Source organism: Homo sapiens, chromosome 16, assembly GCF_000001405.40.
Source record: "Homo sapiens chromosome 16, GRCh38.p14 Primary Assembly".
Taxonomy (NCBI): Eukaryota; Metazoa; Chordata; class Mammalia; order Primates; family Hominidae; genus Homo; species Homo sapiens.
The window spans coordinates 57,428,187-57,452,780 of NC_000016.10; the positions used below are offsets into that span (position 1 = coordinate 57,428,187).

The window sequence follows — 24,594 nt, forward strand, 5'->3', positions numbered from 1 at the left end:
TATCAATGAAAACTTTTATTTACTGGTAAAATATAAAAATCCAGGTCTCTTAAATCCACACAATCTCTCCAAATATTTGGCAAGATTGATTCCAAGTCCATATGGGTGGATAACAAGAACAAAGGGGTCTCTGCTCAGAGAGACGTATTGTCGTTCAGAGTTCTGCCCTGCTTCCCTCTAAATGCTCACCAACCTGGACTCTTCTAAAGTGGGCAGACAAGCCCTATTCTAAGCGTAGGAATAGCCCCATTTGTGCGTGACACTAAGTTCCTCCAATGGTCCAAACTGAGCGTGGATGACTATCCAACATCACACACAAATGCACATCCCCTCTCTTTACAAGACATGCAGAATCTCAAGATATGTCAAGATATGCAGCAAGTTTAATACCTGAAGGTTAACATAAATGACAACAGGACACAGATGCAATGCTACAGTCAAATGTGGTTGGGGATGGAAGGGGGCAGAGGGACACTGGATATCATCACAGCAACCAGTGAGTGAGTCCTCTGGTGCCCTGAGGAGGTTGTGAGCCACTTGACTCGTGTCACAAAGAATGGAGTAAACTAACAACTCTGAAAGACAAGAGGGTGGCAGCATTGCTGAGATGAGACTCAAGGCAGGGGTCTGCAGCTCTGTCACAGAGTGTTAATGCTCAACGATGCCTGGGCTCAAGAGCGTTCTGGTCAGCATTTTAACATCAGAAGAAGGGCTTCTTCAGGACACACTCCCTTCTCTTAACATGAGGTGAAGAAACCCATCCCATTCTGAAACCAGGTCCCATAATACCTTGGTCTTTTGATACACAGCAGCACTACACACCACTGTGCCCCCCAGCCAGCTTCACTCTGTCTGCTAAGCACCCACTCTGCAAACAGATCTCAGAGTGAACAAATCCAGAGGAGGTGGGAGGAGCCACCATGGTGGGATGTGAGGGACAGGAGTTGGCTGGAGGAGCAGATGGGTCCCATGTCAGGAACCTCCTAGGCATCATGAAGATTGCTATCACTCAGAAGCACCTTTTCCCCAGGTTTGAAGGCTGGCATCCCAAGGTAGGGGCAGCTGGCACAGCGGAAGGCATCGCCCAGGTAGCACTGGAGAGAGAGAATGGGGAAGCCAAGGGTCAGCTTATCCCAGGCATACCAGCCAGAAGAAAGAAATGCCTAATTTCATAATGTGGCCACAGTGGCCTGAAGGAAATGGCTATGTTTGCAGGTCCAATTGAGACCAAAATACTAAGAGTTTTCAAGATTTCTGGTTTCGTGAAAAACTATAGTCATGAAAAGTTCCCTAGGAGGCCATAGTTCTTTTTTTTTTGTTTTTGAGATGGAGTCTCCCTCTGTCACCCAGGCTGGAGTGCAGTGGCGCGATCTCAGCTCACTGCAAGCTTCGCCTCCTGGGTTCCCGCCATTCTCCTGCCTCAGCCTCCCAAGTAGCTGGGACTACAGGCGCCCGCTACCATGCCCGGCAAATTTTTTTGTATTTTTAGTAGAGACGGGGTTTCACCATGTTAGCCAGGATGGTCTCGATCTCCTGACCTCGTGATCCGCCCTCCTTGGCCTCCCAAAGTGCTGGGATTACAGGCGTGAGCCACCGCACCCGGCCTTTTTTTTTTTTTGAGATGGAGTCTCCCTCTGTCACCCAGGCTGGAGTGCAGTGGTGCGATCTCAGCTCACTCCACCTCCCAGGTTCAAGTGATTCTCCCGCCTCAGCCTCTGGCATAGCTGGAATTACACACGTGAGCCACTGCGCCCGGCCATAGTTCTATATTCTATGCAGTTCAAAACACAACCAACTTTAGCTAACTGTCTAACCATCAGGTCCCACTCTGAAGTACAAAGAAATGGGCCAAAAATAAAAAGCAACAAGACCCTCCCTGACCAGCACAAGCACGCTAACCCACTCTCACTCTCAGGAGACAGCCTCTCTCCCCATTACTACCTACGTTCGTGTGCTCACGCATTCGTCTGTTACTAAAATATTTGAGGTGGAGCTTGTCTGTGTTTAGTTTAGAAGAAGGTCTAATCCCCCTGGGGGTTTGTGAATGCTGAGGAATGATCCTGATATTTACGTTTCCACAAGCTGACTTGGGTTGGGAGCTCATCTGTTCCCTTGACTTCTCTTTTTCCAGTTCTTCGGCAAGGCCACAGGTGCTGCGGGAAAATCAGTAACTAATGAACGAGAATTGTCACCACCCAGAAATCCCAAATCCTAACAGTGCCAAAATGTGCTTTAAGCCTTTTCTCTTCACACCAGTGTCATAACTCAGAAGCCTATAGGCCAGGCAGACAGCAGCAATATGAGAGGCTGCTGAGGGAGACAGAAGTGGGAGGAGGATGAGGGAAGTACCGTGTGTGCTCTGTCTACAGAGGGCAGCCACTACTCAAGCTTCAGCTGGTTATCATGCTGGGGAAAGTGGACCCAGATTGCCATATTTTCCAAATTCAAGAACAGAAGGGAAAAAAATCTGTGTTTTCACTTGAAATTTCCTGATTTGTAAATGCTGGCAGCTTTTACATTTAAAAAACACTGATGATTAACGCTGATGATGAACATCACTGATTAACTTTCTACAATCCTTCCCATCCATTTATAAAAACAAATGTGAAGACACCAAGGTCTCGCTCTGATGCCCATGCTGGAGTGCAGTGGCACAATAGTGGCTTACTGGTAGGGTTTTGAGGGAGAGTGAAATTAGATACATGGCACAATTACGGCTCACTGCAGCCTCGACCTCCCAGGCTCAAGTGATCCTCCTGCCTTTGCCTCCCAAGTAGCTGGGACCACAGGTACATACCACCATGCCTGGCTAATTTTTTTTTTTTTTTAATTATTTGCAGAGATGGTCTCCCTGTGTTGCCCAGCCTGGAAAATGTATGTTCTAAAAATAGTACAGCACCGCGATGTCTTCAGCATGAAGCCACTGGAGGCAGCATGGCAGGCTCCAGTCACCCCAGCACTCACCAGTTCTTACAGGCCTTCCTCTTTTTCCCTTCCCCACAAGAAGCAGCCCGCAGGGAAGCTGGATCTGGCTTCTTCAAATCTTCTGGATCCAGCAGCTCATCTGAGTCAATGAGATCCTGGAGAGTGTTCAAAGCAATGAGTGATACAGTCGTGGTCTCTGCTAATGAAAAGCTAAAGTGACTGCAGGCTTCGAGAGGAAACTTGGAGTCCAGGGTAAAGAAGGTGTCCACCCTGTCCTCCTTTTGGTTGATCATCATGTTCAACCTGACCACATGCTCAAGAGGCCAACGGTGAGTTAAACTACATCCACAGAAGATGCACTAGGATGCAAAGGAATTAGAAACAAATTTACATGAGAAAAAGCTGTATGACTGGCCAGCAATGTGTAGAGAATATACACATGTTGGGGGTTGGGGGCAGGAGTGGGGAGAAGGGAGGGAACAGGCAGAACAGAGAAAGAGAGAAGTGTTTATGAAGAGTCACGTGAAAAAGGGAATAAAATATCTTTTACATAATCCCAGATAAAAATCAAATAATTATATATACCTTTATGTAATTCTTTGTAAATGTGTAGACACTTAGTCTGTAAACCCTATGAGAGCATGAACCTCACTTATTTTGCTCACTACTCTAACTTCAATAGTAGAGGTGTAGAAATGAAGAACTTTATTACAGACATGGCCAAAGATAGAAAATAGTGCTTTTTAAAGCATGGAACAGTCAGCAACTTGCCCAAAGGTGCCAATAAAACTATTTAAGCTGACAAAATCTTTTCAGGTTTACACATGCCCACAAGAGTTTTCAACATATCGTATGAAGTGAGAACAAGAAATTATGTGGGGAAAAAGAGATGCTAAAAAATTTAAAATGCCACCAACATGGCCAAGCGCAGTGGCTCACACCTGTAATCCCAGCACTTTGGGAGGCCGAGGCGGGCAGATCACTTGAGGTCAGGAGTTTTGCGACCAGTCTGGCCAACATGGTGAAACCCCGTCTCTGCTAAAAACGCAAAAATTGGCCAGGTGTGGTGGCACATGCCTGTAATCATAGCTACTTGGGAGGCTGAAACATGAGAATCGCTTGAACCCGGGAGCAGAGATTGCAGTAAGCCGAGATTGTGCCATTGCACTCCAGCTTGGGCAAGAGAGCGAGACTGTCTCCAAAAAAAAAGCCACCAACATGGAGTTTCCTTCTAAATCAAAGATGTGACAGGCATAGTCACAAATCTGGGCTTTAAATACGTTCACACCTACAAGTCCAGAAAGGTCACTATAGCTGTTCACACCCAAACTGGGGCCTGAAAGAAAGCAATCAAGTGACAATGCTGCCAGCTCACCATGCTGTCGTCCTCCATATCGTTGGCTGAGAGGGTCCACAGCTTGGCAGCAGCAGGGTCCACAGCAGGTTTCACTGAGTCCAAGCAATAAAAGAAAAAACTCCATAAACACAGTCAGAAACTATTAATTACAAACATACATAAATGCTTCCTGCTGTGTAGAAGAGAACACACTGGCCTGGGAGGCAGAAGATGTGGGTTCACAGTCCAGCTCTACCCCTCTGAGAGGTCTGACCTTGGGCCAACCACTTGCTGATAGTTACAGAAGTCACCATTTGCTAAGCTCTTGCTTTGCACCAGGCACCATATTAAGCACTTATATACATTATCTAACTTAATTCTGCTGACAACCTTATGAGGTAACTATCTGTCATCCTACTTTTACCGCTGAGGAAACAGGTTTAGACACTTAGGCTGGTTCCACAGGCTGCAAAGCCTGTCTGATGCTTTTAACCTCCATTCCATATTGCTTCCTCCTCGATACCTTAGTTTCCATTCTATAACATGAAGTTAAATTGTACTTCCTATGTTACTGCAGGTGTTTTGAGGATTAAATGAGAAATGTGTCAAAACCTTCAAAAATAGCAGAGCTTTAGCCTCATGTAAACCTGCTACATACAAGAAAATAGGCTCTAGAGCTGCTGGTGGCAAGGTAACACCATCAGTGGCAGACAAACCTCACACTTCCTGGTTCTCTGTCTAGTCAGGAGAATGCAAGGAAGAGGCAGAGAGCTGAGGCTCGGATGCAGTGTGGGCAAATCCTCGCAGGCCCTTGGGGTAAGAGTACCCTCTAGTGATCATTGTCACAGCTGGATGCTCATACCTTCCACAAGGCCAACTGTTCTAAGCTATTCCTACCCATTCTGGAACCATGAATCGAAAGGTTAGATTCCAAAGGATTTCTTGAAGATTTAGGTTAGACAGTCAAAACCGTACAAGTGGGAATGTACCAGTAAATATCTGTTAATGTCTGCATACCTCACAGCTGGGTCAATTCAGGCATTTAAAAATAGGGATAGGAAGGATGAGGATGGAGCTGTGTGTGTGTGTGTGTGTGCGTGCGCGTGCGTGCACGCGTGTGCTTGTACACAATTTTCTAGTCAGAAGAAATATAGTTTTATAAGTGTCTTAGCATCCTCAAAGTAAGAACAGCTGATTTTCCTGGCATGGGGAAAAAAGCACATGAGAACAGGAACAGGGCACTCTCATACACCATTACCACTACACTGTGAGGTCTTCTGAGGAGAAACGTTAATTCTGGGACCTGGAAGGACCTCATTAATTAAACTGTGTGACTCAGTCCTGTAAAATTAGGAGGCCTCGGTATCTTCTGGTGCAGAAGAAGGAGCTGAACTAGATAATACCTATGTATTATTTCAGTTTTGGATCCTAATATGCCCATGATAATAGTACATTAAGTATTCTTCTTTGTGGAAATGGCAGAAATCAAAGGACTAATCCTCTAAAAATATCACCATCTCATTTATTGCTGGCTCAATTTCTAACATGTCCCTCTAAGCCCATTCAAACAGAAGAATGTCCCTAGGCCAGCCTTACCTGAAGGAGAAGACTTCTTGGTGATGGAAAGCTTAAGCTGCCTAGAAGAACCCACTTCAAAGTTTGGTTTTTTGCCTGTGATCTGAACAAACAGCAGGTTGTCACTTTCATGACCAAGGTGTTCTCGAACAGACTGTACTTCCTCAGGGGTTAGGGGCTCCCGCTGCAGCTAGAATTCAAGACATCAAAAGGATTAGTTCACCCTCCTCTGTAAAATGGTTTACTATGTCTACCTACACAGGAGTCAAAGACTCATTTCTGTGCATTAAGGATGTAACAGTGGATGGTAACAGATAACACTTTATGCCTCACATTCAGTTTCTCACTGATCAGAACCCTAGAGTATAACCTTTGTCTGCATGTTTACTTGGAGCCTACCCCTTGGAAAATGTAAAAGTACTTAAAAAACATTAGGGATGAGGCATATACTAGTTATTTGGGATGTAATACAATTATGAAAATGAACCAGATGTGGTCCTACTGTGTAACAGGAAAGAATGCCCACAATGAAGACAGCAGAAATTTATATCCCAAAAGAAAAAGGGGGAGGAAAATCCTTTCTATGTTCCTTGGGATAAAGTAGCAGAGAGTAAAGGTAGAAAAAAAGGGTCAGGGTGCCACCTCTATGTCCAATAATTATAGACTGGTTACATAAATCACAGTCCATCTATTGTATGGAATACTATTACATCATTAATATGAATGAAGGGAAATACACTGAAGTAGGTAAGTGTCTATGATATCTAAGGGTGGGAAAAAAGGTGATTGAACAATGTATACTTATGATCTTATTTACATTTTTAAAAAAGTATGTGCATGTAGATGCTTGTAAATACATAGGAAAAGGTCTGAACGGACATACAAAAAGGCATTGGTGGCTTCCTCTGGGGAGGGAAGTGTGAGCAAGAAGTGGGATGTCACTTTATATTCTGTATGCTTTGGTGTAAAGTGAATTTTTATGAGGAGTCTGATATAGTTTGGATATGTGTCCCCTCTAAATCTCATGTTGAACTGTAATCCCCAATGTTGGAGGTGGGGCCTGGTGAGAGGTGACTGGATCATGGGGGCAGATTTCTCATGAATGGTTTAGCACCATCTGAATTCTCATGAGATGTGGTGGTTGTAAAGTATGGCACCTTCCCCACCCCGACTCTTCCTCTCTTTCTTGATCCTGCTTTTGCCATGTGATGTGCCTGCTCCTGCTTCACCTTCTGCCACGAGTAAAAGTTCATTGAGGCCTCCCTAGAAGCCAAGCAGTTGCAGGCCCGTGCTTCCTGTACAGTCTGCAGAACAGTGAGCCAATTAAACCTCTTGTCTTTATAAATTATTCAGTCTTAGGTATTCCTTTATAGGAACAGAAGAATGGCCTAATACACATTCCTTATTTTAAAATCAAGCACAGAAAACCTTAAGCTAAAAGGAAAAATAAGAAAGGGTTGGCATAAAGAATCTAAGGCCTGGCATAAAGAATCTAAGGCCTGGCTCACGCCTGTAATACCAGCACTTTGGAAGGCCAAGGTGGGTAGATCACCTGAGGTCAGGAGTTAGAGAACGGCCTGGCCAACATAGCGAAACCCCATCTGTACTAAAAATACAAAAAATTAGCCAGGTGTGGTGGCGCACGCCTGTAATCCCAGCTACTCGGGAGGCTCAGGCAGGAGAATTGCTTGAACCCAGGAGGCGGATGATGCAGTAAGCAGAGATCGTGTCACTGCACTCCAGCCTGGGCAACAGAGCGAGACTGTCTCCAAAAACAAGAAAAAAAATTAAAAAACAAAGAATTTAAGGCCCTACATTATGTAAGAAATAACAGGCACAACAGCTATCATGCTGTAACATTTACCTCTCCCACATCCAAGAAAATTTTAAGATCAAAGAGTGTAGAAATATAAATACTTCTGCTTAATTTAAACATTTCCACTGAATTGTCAGAAAAGGAACTTTGCCCTCTAACCTATTCCAGCCTCCCACCAAAAATGTGAGGCTGAACTAGATGGCAGTGTTCACCCAGGCCTAGGATTCGGGTCTACTGAGAGGTGGGTGTTGGAAGCAGCAGAGCTGCTGCTCATGCCCCTCAGCTGTCACCACCACTAAACTAGTACCAAGGAGACAAGAACAAGCCCCAGCCCACATGGGCCAAGCTGAGTCTCTTTGAAGTTGGTTATTCTCAAAAGTTTTTTTTTGTTTTGTTTTGTTTTTTTTGAGACAGAGTCTCGCTCTGTCGCCCAGGCTGGAGGGCAGTGGCGTGATCTCGGCTCACTGCAAGCTCCGCCTCTCAGGTTGACGCCATTCTCCTGCCTCAGCCTCCTGAGTGGCTGGGACTACAGGCGTCTGCCACCAGGCCCGACTAATTTTTTTGTATTTTTAGTAGAGACGGGGTTTCACTGTGTTAGCCAGGATGGTCTCGATCTCCTGAGCTCGTGATCCACCCACCTCGGCCTCCCAAAGTGCTGGGATTACAGACGTGAGCCACCACACCCGGCCGATTCTCCCAAGTTTTGTCCTTTGAAGCATCATGTATCTTACATGCACAGCATTTCTTGTTTCCTAGTTCTAAGCAATACTGATTACCTCACCTGCAGGGCAGCAAAGAAAGTTGTCTACAAACGTACCTCTTTCACTTCCACAAGACCAGAAAGAGTCAGGGCTGAACACAGCTTAGATGCTGTCTTCACTTTGCTATTGTTATCTGCCAAAAGGAAAATCCCAATTAATAGCTTTATAGTTCAAAGTAGGAAAAATAATAAAGGCTCAATCCTATATGGGTTCGCAGGCATTCAAACAATAATAACCAGGTGGGCGTGGTGGCTCATGTCTGTAATCCCAGCACTTTGGGAGGCTGAGGTGGACAGATCACTTGGGGCCAGGAGTTCAAGACCAATCTGGGGCCAACATAGCAAAATCCCGTCTCTACTAAAAATACACACAAAAAAAATAGCCAGGCGTGGTGGCACACGCCTGTAATCCCACCTACTTGGGAAGCTAAGGCACGAGAATCGCTTGAACCTGGGAGGCGGAGGTTGCAGTGAGCCGAGATTGCACCACTGCACTCTTGCCTGCACAACAGAGTGAGACTTGATCTCAAAGAAAAAACAAAAAAAAAATAATAACCTATTCTGTTTAATGTACAGATGGTCCTTGACTTAATGATGGTTCTACCTATAATTTTTCAACTTTTATGATAGTATGAAAGTAATACTCATTCAGTAGAAACTGTATACTTCAGTTTTCAGTAAATTACATGAGATACTAAGCACTTTATTATAAACAGGCTTTGTGTTAGATGATTCTGCCCAACTGTAGGCTAACGCAAGTGTCCTAAGCGTGTTTAAGGTAGGCTAGGCTAACCTAAGCAATTGTGTTTAGTAGGTTAGATGAATTACATGCATTTTCATCTTAATAGTATTTATCAGGATGTAACTCCATTGTAAGATGAGGACAATTGTATATATATTTTAGTGATATTATTTTATTATTATTATTATTATTATTATTTTTGAGACAGGGTCTCACTTTGTCACCCAGGCTGGAGTGCGGTGGCATGATCTCAGCTCATTGCAGCCTCGACCTCCCAGGTTCAAGCAATCTTCCTGCCTCAGCCCCCACCAAGTAGCTGGGGTTATAGGTGTGCACTACCACACTGGGCTAATTTTTGTATTTTTTGTAGAGACGGGGTTTCGCCATGTTGCCCAGGCTGGTCTCGAACTCCTGGACTCAAGCAACCTGCCTGCCCCAGCCTCTCAAACTGCCGGGATTACAGGTGTGAGCCACTGTGCCTGGCCATAGCGATACTATTTTAATTTGACAAATCCTTTTTGTTGTTCGAAGTGTTTTTACCTAAGCTCTTAAATGTTATAATTCCATTATTATTGTTTTTTTATCACTCTCTGCTTCTTGAAACCCCTTCCAGAGGTTGTGAGATAATGACTATGAAAAGAGGCTTATGAACTGCAAAGTGCACAGAAACACAAGTATTCCTTCTGAATAGTTCCTTTTTTATCTCTGTATAGTTCTAAGACACTACATTTAGTCATGTAAGGTTTAAATTCCCAGCAAAGAATGCTGATTTATACTACACATAACACAAAGTTCTATTTCCAAATAAACAATGAACACCTTTATACATTTCAAAATACTTTCATTTCTATTATTCTATTTGATGAAATGGTTATGTTTTGACTGAAAGTCTAGTGAAAAATATTAAAAATCCAGACTTGAATCACTCTGACAGCTATACCACCGATCAAAAAAGTTTTTACTTCATGAACACTGTCATTAGTTTCACATGAATCAATAATTACCACATCATTCCCAGGGTTCGGCCACTATTTTTAAACTTTTAATTTTGAAATAACTATAGATTCACAGGAAGTTGGAAAAAACAAAAAAAAGTTCTGTATATTAAGGAGGTCTTCACTTCGTCCCTCCCCACAGTTAACATCTTACCCAATTATAGCATGATATGAAGACCGGGAAATTGATATTGATGGTCCACATAACTTTTTCAGATTTCATTTCTTTTATATGTACTCGTTTGGCAGAAGGGGGCTATATAGTTCTATGTAATTTTATTATATGTGTAGATTTGTGTAACCACCACGACATTCAGAACACAGAATTGTTCTATCACCACAGGAACCCTCATACTACCCCTTTATAGCTCCACCAACCCTTTCCTCCCACTTCTAACCTCTGGCAAACTCTGATCTCCACCGCCACAATTTTGTTATTTCGAGCATATGAATGGATTTGTACAGTACAGAGCCTTTTGAGATTGGCTTTTTTCACTCAGCTACTTCCCTTGATATCCATCCAAGCTGATGTACATATAGTTAGCTAGTTCATTTTTATTGCTGCATCACTTTCCATATTATGAACATATCAAAGTTTATTCACCTGCAAAAGGACCCATTTTTAGATGGCAGTTTCCTTCTATTTTATTACATAATGAGTCAGCCAAAGATTACAATTTCTCCAGATATGTTGCTTCAGATTTTAACAATAATTTATCCCCAAGGAAAAGGTTTTGCTACAGGAATACTGATCTCCCAATGATACCTCCTGCTCACGGAGATGCAGCACACATACTCTAAGACTCAACCCTGTCAAACATGTTTTCCAAGTGAAGATCTCCTTACCTACAGCTGTCTCTACTGGCTCCTTCAGAAAAAGACATCCACCAGGCCGAAGGATCCGGGCGATTTCAGCCAAAATCTCAGCACTGTGCAGAGTGGTGCTTCCTGGGACTAAACCTGACAAAATAATGTCAAAGCTGGATTCTTTGTGGGCAGCTGAAAAGAAGAGGACTCTAATTAGCAATCTCCTGAGCCTGGGATAATCTCCTGGTCCCTTCCAACCCCCAACAAAAGCTACAGACCTCACCCTGAGAGAATGGACACCACTCGATATCCATCCAAGAAGCTGGATGAATAGTAAGTGTTTTAAAAAAACATGGAATAGCTACCAAGAAAGAACATACTTATGGAAATCATCAACTACACTCCTAAGCTCTGCTGCAGGAAGTGAGGGACCCCAAACGGAGGGACCGGCTGAAGCCATGGCAAAAGTACACAAATTGTGAAGATTTCATGAACATTTATTAGTTCCCCAAATTAATACTTTTATAATTTCTTACGCCTGTCTTTACTGCAATCTCTGAATATAAATTGTGAAGATTTCATGGACATTTATCACTTCCTCAGTCAATACTCTTGTGATTTCCTATGCCTGTCTTTACTTTAATCTCTTAATCCCGTCATCTTCATAAGCTGAGGATGTATGTTGCCTCAGAACCCTGTGATGATTGCGTTAACTGCACAAATTGTTCATAAAGCATGTGCATTTAAACAATACGACATCTGCGCACCTTGAAAAAAGAACAGGATAACAGCGATGTTCAGGGAACAAGGGAGATAACCATCAGGTCTGACTGCCTGAGAGCCAGGCGGAACAGAGCCATATTTCTCTTCTTACAAAAGTGAATAGGAGAAATATCACTGAATTCTTTTTCTCAGCAAGGAACAGCCCTGAGAAAGAGAATGCGTTCCTAGGGGGAGGTCTCTAAAATGGCCACTCTGGGATGTCTGTCTTATATGGTTGCAGATAAGGGATGAAATAAGCCCTGGTCTCCCGTAGCACTCCCAGGCCTGTTAGGACGAGGAAATTCCCACCCAGTAAATTTTAGTCAGACCAGCTGTCTGCTTTCAAACCCTGTCTCCTGATAAGATGTTATCTATGACAATGCGTGCCCGAAACTTTATTAGCAATTTTAATTTCGCCCCAGTCCTGTGATCTCGCTCTGCCCCCGTTTGCCTTATTTTATTGCCTTGTGAAGCATGTGATCTCTGTGACCCACACCCTATTCGTACACTCCCTCCCCTTTGAAAATCACTAATAAAAACTTGCTGGTTTTGCGGCTTGAGGGGCATCACGGAACCCGCCGACATGTGATGTCTCCCCCGGACACCCAGCTTTAAAATTTCTCTCTTTTGTACTCTTTCCCTTTATTTCTCAGACCAGCCGACACTTAGGGAAAATAGAAAAGAACCTACGTTGAATTATTGGGGGTGGTTCCTCCGATATATCTCAACTGAAAAACAACAGGGTGACCAGCCACCACTATCACATGCCACCCTAAATGAAAACTCAGATATCAAGGAACCACAGAAATGCAACACTCCCATGGAAACCCCTCCAGCCTCATAAAGACAACGTGGGTGGGTACTTACATTGCAACAGCTGCTTGATGTTTTCCACAGACACGCGGCCCTCATTGCCGGTTAACGCTTGAAGCTTATCCACCAGACCTTTCAGAGCCTCCACTGGGGATGACTTATCCCAGACCACTGCCACAAACTGGCCAGCAGAGATCCCAAAATCTGCCATTCTTGCAGTGCAGTACTGACAGACCTAAAAACTGCTGGCCAAAAGGGAATCAAGACTGGGCAGAGACAAAGTGCAATTTAATCTGTGAGATATCATAAAATATGATTAGAATCCCAACCTAACTTGTAACCGCCCACTAGGGAATGCTGACAACATTAGAAACTCTACTGTATATGCTAAAGAGTCTGAATACATGAACCCCATTATCTCAAGTCTTCATAAGCCCAACATTCCCAAAGAAGGCAGATAGCTTCCTTGGTGAGAATCCTGACTTGGAAGAGTCAAGAAAGGGGATTAGAGGCAAGTAAGAAGGTTGGAGGCAGAAAGATGATTTCCTCTTTGACCTAAGATAATTCAGCATGAACGGAATGGAAAACACACAGGACATCAATTAGGCAAAGTGTGACTTGGCAAGGAAGGCAAATAAATTGACAGAAATAACCCAACCACAGATTCAATGTTTTTAAAAAGAAACAACACATTTAAATTTGCAAACTGAATACTGGTTATTTTCCCTTTCATCAAAATATGAAAATTTAATTCCACTGAATCTGCAGTGATCAAGAATACTTACTATGTCTGTACCATTTAATATTAGCTACATTGTTCAAAGCATCTTCTAAACATTATCTCAACTGAATCTCAGAACAGCCTTAAACTAGATATTATTACCATTTTACAGTCTGGAAACTGAGGCAATTTACGTTGCCCAAGTCACACAGCTAGTGAGTGCTACATGGATAAAGTGAGAGCTGGGATTTGAACCCAAATTCATCTGACTGTAAATCCCATGCTTTTAACCTATGGAAATTTCCCTCCAGGGATCAACTTCCTCTTCCACTTGATACTTAGGTGAGTATATAATATGCTCACAAAGAAATTAGGTCAAGAGATAGTACTCTACTCAGTTTCTCCTTTCTTTCTTAAACATTAATGACACCAGTTTCCAATTTAAAATAGCTCAAATAAATGAAACAAACAATTTGTGGTAGAGGAGTCAAAATGGATTAGTTTTATGTTGAACACTTCAGACTTCTGCAGAGGTGGCCAACTCAGTGGCAATCATGCCACCACAGATACAGACTGAATTCAAGCGAAGTCACTACACTCTTGTTTCTTTTAAAATGTTGACTTCGGCTGGGCACAGTGGCTCACACCTGTAATTTCAGCACTTTAGGAAGCCGAGCCAGGCGAATTGCCTGAGCCCAGGAGTTTGAGACCAGCCTGGCCAACATGGTGAAACCCCATCTCTACTAAAAATACAAAAATTAGCTGGGTGTGGTGGTGCATGCCTGTAATCCCAGCTACTCACGAGGCTGAGGAAGGAGAATCGCTTGAACCTGGGAGATGGAGGTTGCAGTGAGCCAAGATCGTGCCGCTGCACTCCAGCCTGGTGACAGAGCGAGACTCCGTCTCAAAATAAATAAATAAATAAAAAATAAAAAATTATAGCTGGGCGTGGTGGCTCATGCCTATTATCCCAGCACCTTGGGAAGGCGAGGCAGGTGGATCCCTTGAGTCCAGGAGTTCAAGACCAGCCTGGGCGACGTGGTGAAACCCCATCTCTACTAAAAATACAAAAATTAGCTGGGCGTGGTGACAGAATCTATGGTAGTCTTATGTAGTAATCTTATGTAGTCCCAGCTACTGGGGTGGAGGAGAGGGCCTGAGGTGGTAGGACTGCTTGAGCCCAGGAGGTTGAGGCTGCAGTGAGCCAAGATTGTGCCACTACATTCCAGACCCTGTCTCAAAAAAACCAAAGTTCACTTCAAGTAACTCTCCTCTTTGCCTACAAAACATACTCAGGATGTTAAATATTTAACACTCAAGCATTAAATACTATAGCACTTTGATTTGTCACTCTTTTCCTAAAGGAGTTACTAAAGGTTTTATTTGCTAGACTGATGTCAATTGGCCTTCTGGATCCACGGCCTCCATAATCTGGCTCTACCTGTATCTCCCACCATTCCAAAGTGATCCCTCCTTATTCTATGAAAACCCTTTGCATTTTCCCCTCATCATGCCTTTTATCTAGCTCCTTCCATATGATCCAACTGCAAGCGCCCCTAAAAGGATGCTAAGTGTTATCAGACAAGTAGGATTCTTTAGTCATTTAACTCTGTTTTCCTTAATGACAGAGGGCAAGTAAAAATGGAAAAAAAAAAAGAAAAAAAAATAATTAAAAAGACAATAATTCTGGTTTTGTTTTTTTTTTTTTTTTGCGGGGGTGGTGGGGAGGACAGAGTTTCACTCTTGTTGTCCAGGCTGGAGTGTAATCTTGGCTCACCACAACCTCTGCCTCCCGGGTTCAAGCGATTCTCACGCCTCAGTTTCCTGAGTAGCTGGGATTACAGGCGTGCACCACCATGCCCGTCTACTTTTGTATTTTTTTAGTAGACGGGGTTTCTCCATGTTGGTCAGGCTGGTCTTGAACTCCCAGCCTCAGGTGATCCACCCGCCTCAGCCTCCCAAAGTGATGAGATTACAGGTGTGAGCCACGGCATCCAGCTAATTCTGTGGTGTTTTTGTTTGTTTGTTCTGTTTTTTGAGACAGAGTCTCACTCCGTCACCCAGGCTGGAATGCAGTGGCACAATCTCAACTCAGTGCAACCTCCGCCTTCAGCGTTCAAGCAATTCTCATGCCTCAGCCTCCCAAGTAGCTGGAATTACAGGTGGACGCCACCACACCTGGCTAATTTCTGTATTTTTAGTAGCAACAGAGTTGTTGGCCAGGCTATTCTCAAACTCCTGACCTCAAGTGATCTGCCCACCTCGGCCTCCCAAAGTGCTGGGATTACAGACATGAGCCACCGTGCCTGGCCAATTTTGGTTTTTAAATCCCTAAACAGCACACAATCAAGAACTGAAACTTTTAACTGGCACATGATGTCGAGGAAGAACCCTTGCAAACTTCAAGGTGTGCAATATGGGATCAATCTCCCATTTAAGAACCAGCCAGGCAAGATGGGAGTATGGATTGCTGGGCATTAAGTTATAAGAAAAAAAAAATGACCTGTTTCTAGAATGATGTTGGAATAGGTTCTTCCTTGGGACAATAGAAAGGGATGAAAAAGACCCCACCTACTAGACTACCACAACTTTGCACTGTACTTACAGAAAAACCCTCATAAAGGAAACGAAGGGCAAAAGCTTACTTATTAGCTAGAGAAAACAAGCCAAATGTCTAGACCTTTTCAGCAACATTTACGGAGGCTTTTATAGGGCACAGGTTTTGAGTGCAGATGACCTAGGGTTCTATTTACCACTGGATCTTATGGGCACATGACCATGGATAAGTTACTAGACTCTTTGAATTTGTTTTCTCATCAGTAAAGTAGGGATAAAAACCTCATATTTTGCGAGGCTGCTGTAAGAAGCAAATGAGAAGATAAAAATAAGCAAGGCACTCGGCAGGCTCTGGCACACAGAGCTCTGTAAAGTAATGTTCTAGAACTCTGGGCTTCCACTTCTCTGTGGCTAGTTTACCTGCCTTTGCTTCAAGCAGTCCTATAAAACCCTGCTTCTCCTTAGCCATGCCTGATAGGAGGACACTCCAGGGAGTGATGGGAACCTGCTTTTTCATTGTTAGAATTAGTGTAAGAGCTGCGCTTTATGATCTTTGGACAGTACTCCAGTGGGACTGTGTCAGTAAATTAGAAGAATGTAAAATGCTTTGCGTTCCGTATCTCCCAAAACTAATCTTATGGCAAGAGGAGCTTATGAACTACATTCATTAAACATCAACCCTCAAAAAACAGGCATAGCCACTACTTTCAGTCAGCATTTTTCAAATAAAATAGGAGATAATATTCTTTTAAATATCTAAAGCCAAAGTGTGATACTTTTCATCATCAGAATTTTATGTTGCTGTTGTGAATTTGTCTTTTAAAACAAAAAAACCCGTAAGGAAAAAGTGTCCAGTATCTAAGACAACATGCTTAGAAGCTGTGAGTCAGGACCCAGTTTCATAATAAGAGGTAGCATCATTGTCACGTCACTGAGCTTGTTGGGTACCTCTCCAACTCTGACTGAGGCACACACATGTGCATGGCCCTTCTAAAATGTTACTGGCAGGCAGTAAAAGCGGATGTCTGAGAACAGACTGTTTTTTAGGTGCCCAGTAAGCATCAAATCTTGAGGCATTTGGTCTCTCTTCTGGTGAAAGGGGACAAAAGCAAAAAATAACACTGAAGTTTGGGCTTCAGTTCAAAAAATTCTTTAACTCGGGTGCATAAAAGAGTTCCAAGAATACTGACAGTTATCAGAAAGGAAAATCCTAATTAAAATTAACTAACTGGGCTGGGTGCAGTGACTCACACCTGTAATCCCACACTTTGGGAGGCTGAAGCAAGTGGATCACCTGAGGTCAGGAGTTCAAGACCAGCCTGGCCAACATGGAGAAAACCCGTCTCTACTAAAAATACAAAGATTAGCTGGGCATGGTGGCGTGCACCTGTAATCCCAGCTACTTGGTAGACTGAGGTAGGCAGAATTGCTTGAACTCAGGAGGCGGACGTTGTAGTGGACCAAGATCTTGCCACTGCACTCCAGCCAGGGAGACAGAGTGAGACTCCATCTCAAAATAAAAAAAAATTAAATTAAAAACATAAAATTAACTAACTGAAGCTCTTGTGCACATACATGTCACTGCCTGGCCTCTGGGTGACCAGTACCAAGTGGGCCTAACCAGCCTGCTGTGCAATCCAAGTCAGCCATTGCCCCTCTCTGGGCCTCAGTTTCCCTGCCAGCTTTAGCAGAATGGTAGGAAGGCACAATTACAACCTGCAAATGAGACCTAAGAAACCTACTATGTGCCTGTCCCTACACGGGAGACAGACAAGAAGACACTTGTTCCCTGCCCTCAAGAGAACGCTCTGTCTAGACACTTAGACTAAGACCTTAGAGGTTTTTTTTTTTTTTTTTTTTTTTTTTTTTTTGGCAGAGTCTTGCTCTGTTGCCCAGGCTGGAGTGCAATGGCACAATCTTGGCTCACTGCAACCTCCGACTCCGGGGTTCAAGCGATTCTCCCGCCTCAGCCTCCCAAATAGCTGGGATTACAGGCACCCACCACCACACCCAGCTAATTTTTGTATTCTTTGTAGAGATGCGGTTTCGCCATGTTGCCCAGGCTGGTCTCGAACTCCTGAGCTCAAGTGATCCACACGCCGCAGCCTCCCAAAGTGCTGGGATTACAGGCATGAGCCTGGCCCAGAATTTTTTTTAAAAAGTGAGAATCAACAATGAAACAGGAACGTCTCCAGGCATTTGGCGTGTGTCAGGAATTAGGGTTTCAGAAAGGATACCCAAATGTTAGTTTCCACAGGAAAGGCTCATTCAAAGATGGATGGATAGAACTCAGAAACAAATCCTTATGGAGAGGAGTGTTTTACCTAAAACCAGAAATATGGATCTAAAATTTTAACCTTTGGGGTAAGTTTTGGCTTAGGAGGTCTTCCCCGCACCCGTGCAGGGGGGAGCCGGATATTCTGAAAAGACTAGATTTGACAAGGGGTGTGCAAAGCACAACTTTAACAGACACAATGATGGGGTCTGACTGCAAACACAAAATCGACAGAATCACATGCTCTTGTCGTCAGTTACTCTTAGCCCAAAAACCGTTTACTTCTTCCTACTAAGCCTTCTCTGATGACACCCCCGTGAAGTGCTCTGTTAGTGGCTAGACCGTGACCTCCTTGAGCCATCCAGAGCTTGGCACTCAGTAATGTCAGAATGAAGGGCACCAGCCTTTCCCGAACTTGCAGATCCTACAAATCACCCGAGGGAGTGGTTAAAATGAGATTCCTGGACCACACCCAGACCCACTCAATCAATCCTTCTGGACAAAGGCCTAGCTGTCTGTTCTAGTAACAAGCATCCTTCCGATCTGGATACTTAATTATATCAACTCAACACGCTGGGGGTTCGGACAAGTTGCAGGTTCGAAATTACAATCGTGAGCTCAGGTACCCCCCGACTCCAAGGCTTTCGTGCTTTGCTGCCAGGAACCCCCAGGGACCAAAACGTCACGGGGACTGAGGCCCAAGGTCACAACGATTGGCTACTGGTAGGACCGGGTCTCAGAACCAGGTCTCCCCGATCCCAAGCTCGGAGCCGTTTCTCCTCAGCGTGGTGTCCCCGGGGCCTCAGAGTAGGGCCGGCTGCGCAAGGGACGAGGCAGCCGGGGAACGGCAGAAATTCCCAGTCAGGACCCCAGGGAGGTTAGGGCCGGCCCTGGCCCCTCACACCGACTTCTCAGGAATAAACCAGCCGGGGCTTTCAGCGGGGCGGCCGTGGCTGCGTTCCCATCGAGGAACGGGGTGGGAAGAGAAAATGAGAGGATGTGGGAACGAGGGTGGGCCGGGAGGGGACAGTTGAGGGAGCTCTGGCGCTCAGCTGGCCCCCACCACTCTCACCTGCCGCCTGGGCTCGCTCCCGGCTTCTCTCCAGCCGTCGACTCCACGCCTTGCGCCTCTCGCGAGAGGAGGAGGCTCCACGGAGCGACGACTTCCGCCCTCCTTAGGGCCGTGGTCCCGTAGCTACCGGTCGCGTCGCCGTGGGCGACGTGCCCGCTTCCAAAATGGCGGCGGCGGCGGTATCTGGTGCGCTTGGCCGGGCGGGCTGGAGGCTCCTGCAGCTGCGATGCCTGCCCGGTGAGGGGGCTGCCAAGCCGGGGAGAGGCGGGGAGCGCGGAGGGGGCGCGAGGCCGGCTTCAGCTGGGTTCGACGGTGGGGGGAAGAGGCCGTTGGGGCGGCCCACGAGCAAGGTGAGGTGAAGGGCATCGGCGCGGGCTCGGGCGAGCCGCCTGGCTAGCTTCGGCCCTGCTCCGCTGTCTGTGAGGGGCAGATGCAGCGGGGCAGGGCCTGTCACCCCCATTTCATGGAGTTGGCAGAGCCTCAGAGAGGGCTCGGGGTACGAAAGTCACGCAGCCTGAGCCTGTTGGTTACAGAACTGGCAGTCGCAGACCCATTCTCAAGTCCATTGCCAAGTCCACTGGAAGGACAGGTGGACACGGCCACAGAGAGCCTAGTCCATTGTTTCCCGAAAGCCAGCCGTTTCCTCACCACTTCACGAATTCTGTGATACTCTCTTACCACCTTTGCCACTATGTACTCAGTATTTTTATTTTTAAATAGGAGTTCTTAAAGAGGAAACTTTATATCATTGTCATAAATGGAAAACTAATATCGCCTTCCTTAATTAGAACGTATGCATTAACACTTTAGCATACATACATAACTGATGAAACGTTCACCTGTATTTCACCTAAAATCTTCTCATGACCCTCAGTGGTACTACAGTCATACTTTGCATCTGCTCCTTCCTTTTCAAAGTTTTGCGGATATTTGTGCCGTATCTTTCAGTACATGTATTAAAATATTGATATTTTGGCACATACTATTCTGTTTCTTTTTTTTCTTTTTTTTTTTTTTCTGAGACAGGGTCTGGCTCCTCAGCCTCCCAAGGAGCTGGGACTACAAGTGCGTGCCACCCTACTTGGCTTAATTTTGTTGTTGAGACAGAGTCTCACTCTGTCACCCAGGCTGGAGTGCAGTGGTACAATCTCGGCTCACTGCAGCCTCTACCTCCTGGGTTCAAGTGATTCTCCTGCCTCAGCCTTCCTAGTAGCTGGGGTTGTGCCACCATGCCCAGCTAATTTTTTATTTTTAGTAGACGGGGTTTCACCATGTTGGCCAGGCTAGTCCAAAACTCCTGACCTCAAGTTATCTGCCTGCCTCAGCCTCCCAAAGTGTTGGGATTACAGGTATGAGCCACCGCCTAGCCCCCTTTTGTTGTATTTATACAAAATTCCAAACTAAAGATGTGTAGTAAAAGTAATGTCTATGACCCCGCAAATCCACCAAGAGAAATGAAGGTATGTGTCTACAAAAAAGTTAGTACAAGTATATTCATAGCAATTTTATTCATAGTAGCCAAACACAGAAACAGTCCAGTTGTCTAGCAACAGAATAGTATTTTTTTTATGGAATACTATTCTGCAATAAAAACTAAAAATCAGTCAAAGAGAAAGCTGGACACTAAAGTGATAAGGACCATTTTTAATCAGTAATAACTATTGCAATAGGGAAAAGAGTCTAGCATGAACGGAGCCCAACCTTGAGTTTAGAGCATGCAGAAGTCACTGGGTGTTTCAAAGAAAAAATGAGGGAGGAGGGAGGAAGGCAGGTGGGGACTCAGTAGAGTCAGGATAGTGAATAATTATAAATAAGATTGGTCTGCTAGCTGGCAGTTAACAAAGTTAGGATTCTGTTTTCCCACAGGGAGACAAGCCCTATCCTTCTTAAGTGTTAGCCTGAACAAACAGTAAAATTTTTTTTGACAGCCTTGAGTTTTCTCAGGCAGGCACTTTAAAGGGGGGTAGGGTTATCTTAAGGGATGTGGCCCTGAGTGATGCTTATGTTAGTGTGTGTTCAAGTCTTTATAGGCCAAGGTTGAGGCCTAGATAAGAAGAGGGCTCAGAGGAGCCTGGTTAGAGCCTGATCAAGGAGAGAATCTTTGCCAGATATACTGATAGGCATAAAAATATGGATCAATCTCAAAAATATACTAAGTGGTCCAGGTGTGGTGGCTCACACCTGTAATCCCAGCACTTTGGGAAGCTGAGGTGGGAGGGTTGCTTGAGCCGAGGAGTTCAAGACCATCTTGGGCAACATAGCAAGACTCTGTCTCTATTTAAACTTAAAATAAATAAATATATATATATACACACACATATATAGTCCTAAGTGAAAGAAGCTTTACTGAAACATGTACATATAGATGAAATCTTAGGACAGGCAAAACTAAGACAAGCAAAAACTAACCTAGAGTGAAAAATTCAGAACAGTATGAATGGGGAATGACTGAAAAGGCATAAGGGAACTTTCTGGGGTGACAGTAATGTTCTCTGTTTAGATTGGGTTTAGGTTGTGCAAGTGTATACATTTGTCAAAACTCATAGAATGGTACACTTAAGATTTATGCATTTCATTGTGTGTAAATGGCATCTGAATAACAAAACAGTGAACGTAGAAGTCTTTGATGCTAAAATGTTTAGAGGTGAATAATACTGATATCTGCAACAAATGCACTGAAAATCAAGATGGATGAATGAAGAACATGACAGATGTGTTGAACCTAGTGGCAGATATACAGGTGTTCATTCCATAATTCTTTCAATTTGCGTGTTTGAAAATTTTTATAATAGGCTGGGCATGATGGCTCACGCCTGTAATCCTAGCACTTTGGGAGGCCAAGACGGGCGATCACTTGAGGTCAGGAGTTTGAGACCAGCCTGGCCAACATGGCGAAACTCCGTCTCTACTAAAAATACAAAAGTGAGCCTGAGAGTGGTGGCGGGTGCCTGTGATCCCAGCTACTCGGGAGGCTGAGGCACGAGAATCACTTGAGCCTGGGAGGCAGAGGTTGCAGTGAGCCGAGATAATCTCACTGCACTCCAGCTTGGCCGACAGAGTGAGACTCTGACAAAAAAAAAAAAAAAAAAGAAAATTTTTAGAATAAAAAATGTTGGGAAATAAAAAATACTATGAGTTTATGCTTAGGAAACATACTTCTCATCTTTCTTAAAGTAAATGGAGATGTTGCAGATATTGCAGATGAGAAAGCAGATAGAGATTAGTGACTTGTCCAAAGATACCATATAAACACTGGGGGAGTAGGGCTGAGACATTAAATTACTATTCCAGAGCTCTTGCCATAATATATATAAATCTGTAACATTTGCAAGCCACTTTTACTTTTTGTTTGGGCCACACAGTGCTCTCATTGAGCAAGTAGAGATTATTACTCTAAATTTGCAGATTTAAAAATCTGCACATTGGGGTGAAATTGTTTGCCAGTTACCCAGGTAACAAGTGGTAGAAACAGGTCAAGATGCTAGGTAGATCATTTTTCCTGGCTTACCACTTTTGCTACCACTTCGTGTCCCAAAGTTCCCAGTTTACCCAATATTTTTGTGTGGGACCCAACACTTGGATAAGTGGTTCTACAGGAGTCTCTGGCCTGCTTTTCCTCCTCCTTATCTGTGTTACCACTCTGGGTCTGAAAGGGTCTTCTCTGTTGAATGTCCCTGACTGACCAGTTTCTGTTTCAGTGGCCCGTTGCCGACAAGCCCTGGTGCCGCGTGCCTTCCATGCTTCAGCTGTGGGGCTAAGGTCTTCAGATGAGCAGAAGCAGCAGCCTCCCAACTCATTTTCTCAGCAGCATTCTGAGACACAGGGGGCAGAAAAACCTGATCCAGAGTCTTCTCATTCACCCCCCAGGTAGGCACCAATCCACCTATTTCTGGCCACTTCATATGCTTCATTATGTCTGTTCCTCCTTCACTTCCTCTCTCCTCTCCATCCCCTTTTGTACCTTCCTTCATTTCCAAGGCCATCTTTGTTTTTTAGAATTTTTTATTTTTTGTAGTGATGGCTTCTCGCTACGTTGACCAGACTGGTCTCAAACTCCTAGATTTCAAGCTGTCCTCCGCCTAGATCTCCCAAAGTGTTGGGATTACAGGTGTGAGCCACTGCACCCAGCCACAAGGCTGTCTTAGGAAAGAACCTATTGTTTTTATAAAATTGGTGCCTGTTTGTTCTAAAACACCTAAACAGTATAGAGAAGTTCACAAAAATAAAGCAGTTTTATCCAAAATTACAGAGATAACCCTGCTAACATTTTTGTGAATATCCTTTTAGATGTTTCTCTAAGCTTATTTCATATGTAAATTTTTGTATAGAATAGATATAATGTGTATAAACTCTACATGCTGTTCTAGAACCTGTTTTTTCACTCAACAGTACATTTGTAATGTCTTTTCATAGCTTAATAGTTGTATAACATTCCAGCAAATAGCTGTGCCAAAATTTATTTAACCTGTCTTTTATTGATGGATATTTAGATTTCCTTCACTAGTATAAGAAATAATATGATAAAGTGTGTGAATCTCTCCTTAGAAGTGGGAGCACTGAGTCAAAGGATATGTACATTTAAAGATTTTTTACTTATGTGGGCCAGTTGCCCTCCAGAAAGGTAATACTAATTTACATTTCCATTAGTGTTTTTTTTTCCTAATCCTGCCATTGAAAAGTTTCTCTATATCTGAAATTAGCGTGTTCCTTTTCATTTTTCTGATTTCCTAACTAAAGTACTTTTCATTTCAATTCAAGAAATATTTTTTGAGGCCCTACTATCATGCCAGGCCCTGTGAGTAATATAGCATTACTCCTGCCCTCAGGGAGGTAGTCTGGTGTAAGTTTAGATGAAGAAACCCTCTGAGCACAGTGTGCTAAGGGCTGAAAACAGGGAACTCCAGGGTGCAGCAATGCCTTCATACCACATGGCCTCATTTGCTGGATTCCTCTCCGTGCCTATGGGGAGGGGAAGGATGATCTAGTTTTTACTCTGTTGGCATTAAAACGTTGATACTGGCTGGGCGCGGTGGCTCGCGCCTATAATCCCAGCGCTTTGGGAGGCCGAGACAGGCGGCTCACTTGAGGTCAGGAGTTCGAGACCAGCCTGGCCAACATGGTGAAACCCTGTCTCTACTAAAAATACAAAAATTAGCCGGACATGGTGGCACACGCCTGTAGTCTCATCGACTTAGGAGGCTGAGGCAGGAGACTTGCTTGAACCCGGGAGGTGGAGGTTGTAGTGAGCTGAGATCACGCCACTGGACTCCAGCCTGGGCGACAGAGGGAGACTCTGTCTCAAAAACAAAAAACAAACAAGAAAACCACATTGATAGTGACACAAGAGTAAATGTCTTCCCAGCATGTGCTTAGAGGAGATCCAGAGCCCCTAGTTTCTGGTCATGCCCATTGTACATGCCAGGAGATGAAGTATGCTGG

At 44.2% G+C, this 24,594-nt stretch overlaps 2 protein-coding genes across 4 annotated transcripts in view, besides 1 other annotated feature; one reads left to right on the forward strand and one right to left on the reverse strand.

The window, feature by feature from the left end:
• Nucleotides 1-19,199, reverse strand: CIAPIN1 (cytokine induced apoptosis inhibitor 1). 3 transcript variants are annotated; one of them, NM_001308347.2, is made up of 9 exons: nucleotides 19,156-19,199; nucleotides 12,586-12,797; nucleotides 10,996-11,109; nucleotides 8,470-8,546; nucleotides 5,858-6,026; nucleotides 4,301-4,374; nucleotides 2,965-3,080; nucleotides 2,072-2,153; nucleotides 1-1,094 (listed from the first exon to the last, which is right to left on the reverse strand). In NM_001308347.2, exons 2-9 carry the CDS (start codon nucleotides 12,740-12,742, stop codon nucleotides 984-986), a joined length of 900 nt encoding a protein of 299 aa, NP_001295276.1. In that variant the 5' UTR covers nucleotides 12,743-12,797; nucleotides 19,156-19,199; the 3' UTR covers nucleotides 1-983. The 3 variants fall into 3 exon arrangements, with proteins under 3 accessions (NP_001295276.1, NP_064709.2, NP_001295287.1); NM_020313.4 differs by having other exon boundaries at nucleotides 10,996-11,148; NM_001308358.2 differs by lacking the exon at nucleotides 2,965-3,080 and having other exon boundaries at nucleotides 10,996-11,148.
• Nucleotides 19,111-19,405: an enhancer, noted in NCBI's record as "tiled region #5957; HepG2 Activating DNase unmatched - State 1:Tss, and K562 Activating DNase unmatched - State 1:Tss". NCBI's record gives its function as "activates a minimal TATA promoter and a strong SV40 promoter by Sharpr-MPRA in HepG2 and K562 cells {active_cell/tissue: HepG2 | K562}" and the evidence as "EXISTENCE:reporter gene assay evidence [ECO:0000049][PMID:27701403]".
• COQ9 (coenzyme Q9) overlaps nucleotides 19,293-24,594 on the forward strand; it is a 13,792-nt gene continuing 8,490 nt past the window's right edge. Inside the window, exons 1-2 of the mRNA NM_020312.4 lie at nucleotides 19,293-19,392; nucleotides 22,854-23,022. Of these exons, the coding sequence (NP_064708.1) occupies nucleotides 19,320-19,392; nucleotides 22,854-23,022 (242 nt within the window). The 5' untranslated portion in view covers nucleotides 19,293-19,319. The remainder of the gene's footprint in view (nucleotides 19,393-22,853; nucleotides 23,023-24,594) is intronic.

Coding starts and splice junctions, on each gene's coding strand:
- CIAPIN1 (NM_020313.4), bottom strand. CDS start 12,742: ATGGCAGATTTTGGGATCTCTGCTGGCCAGTTTGTGGCAGTGGTCTGG. Junction 11,149..12,585: donor CATCAAGCAGCTGTTGCAAT/GTAAGTACCCAC, acceptor TCTTCTTTTCAG/CTGCCCACAAAGAATCCAGC. Junction 6,027..8,469: donor GTCTTGTGGAAGTGAAAGAG/GTACGTTTGTAG, acceptor CTTGAATTCTAG/CTGCAGCGGGAGCCCCTAAC.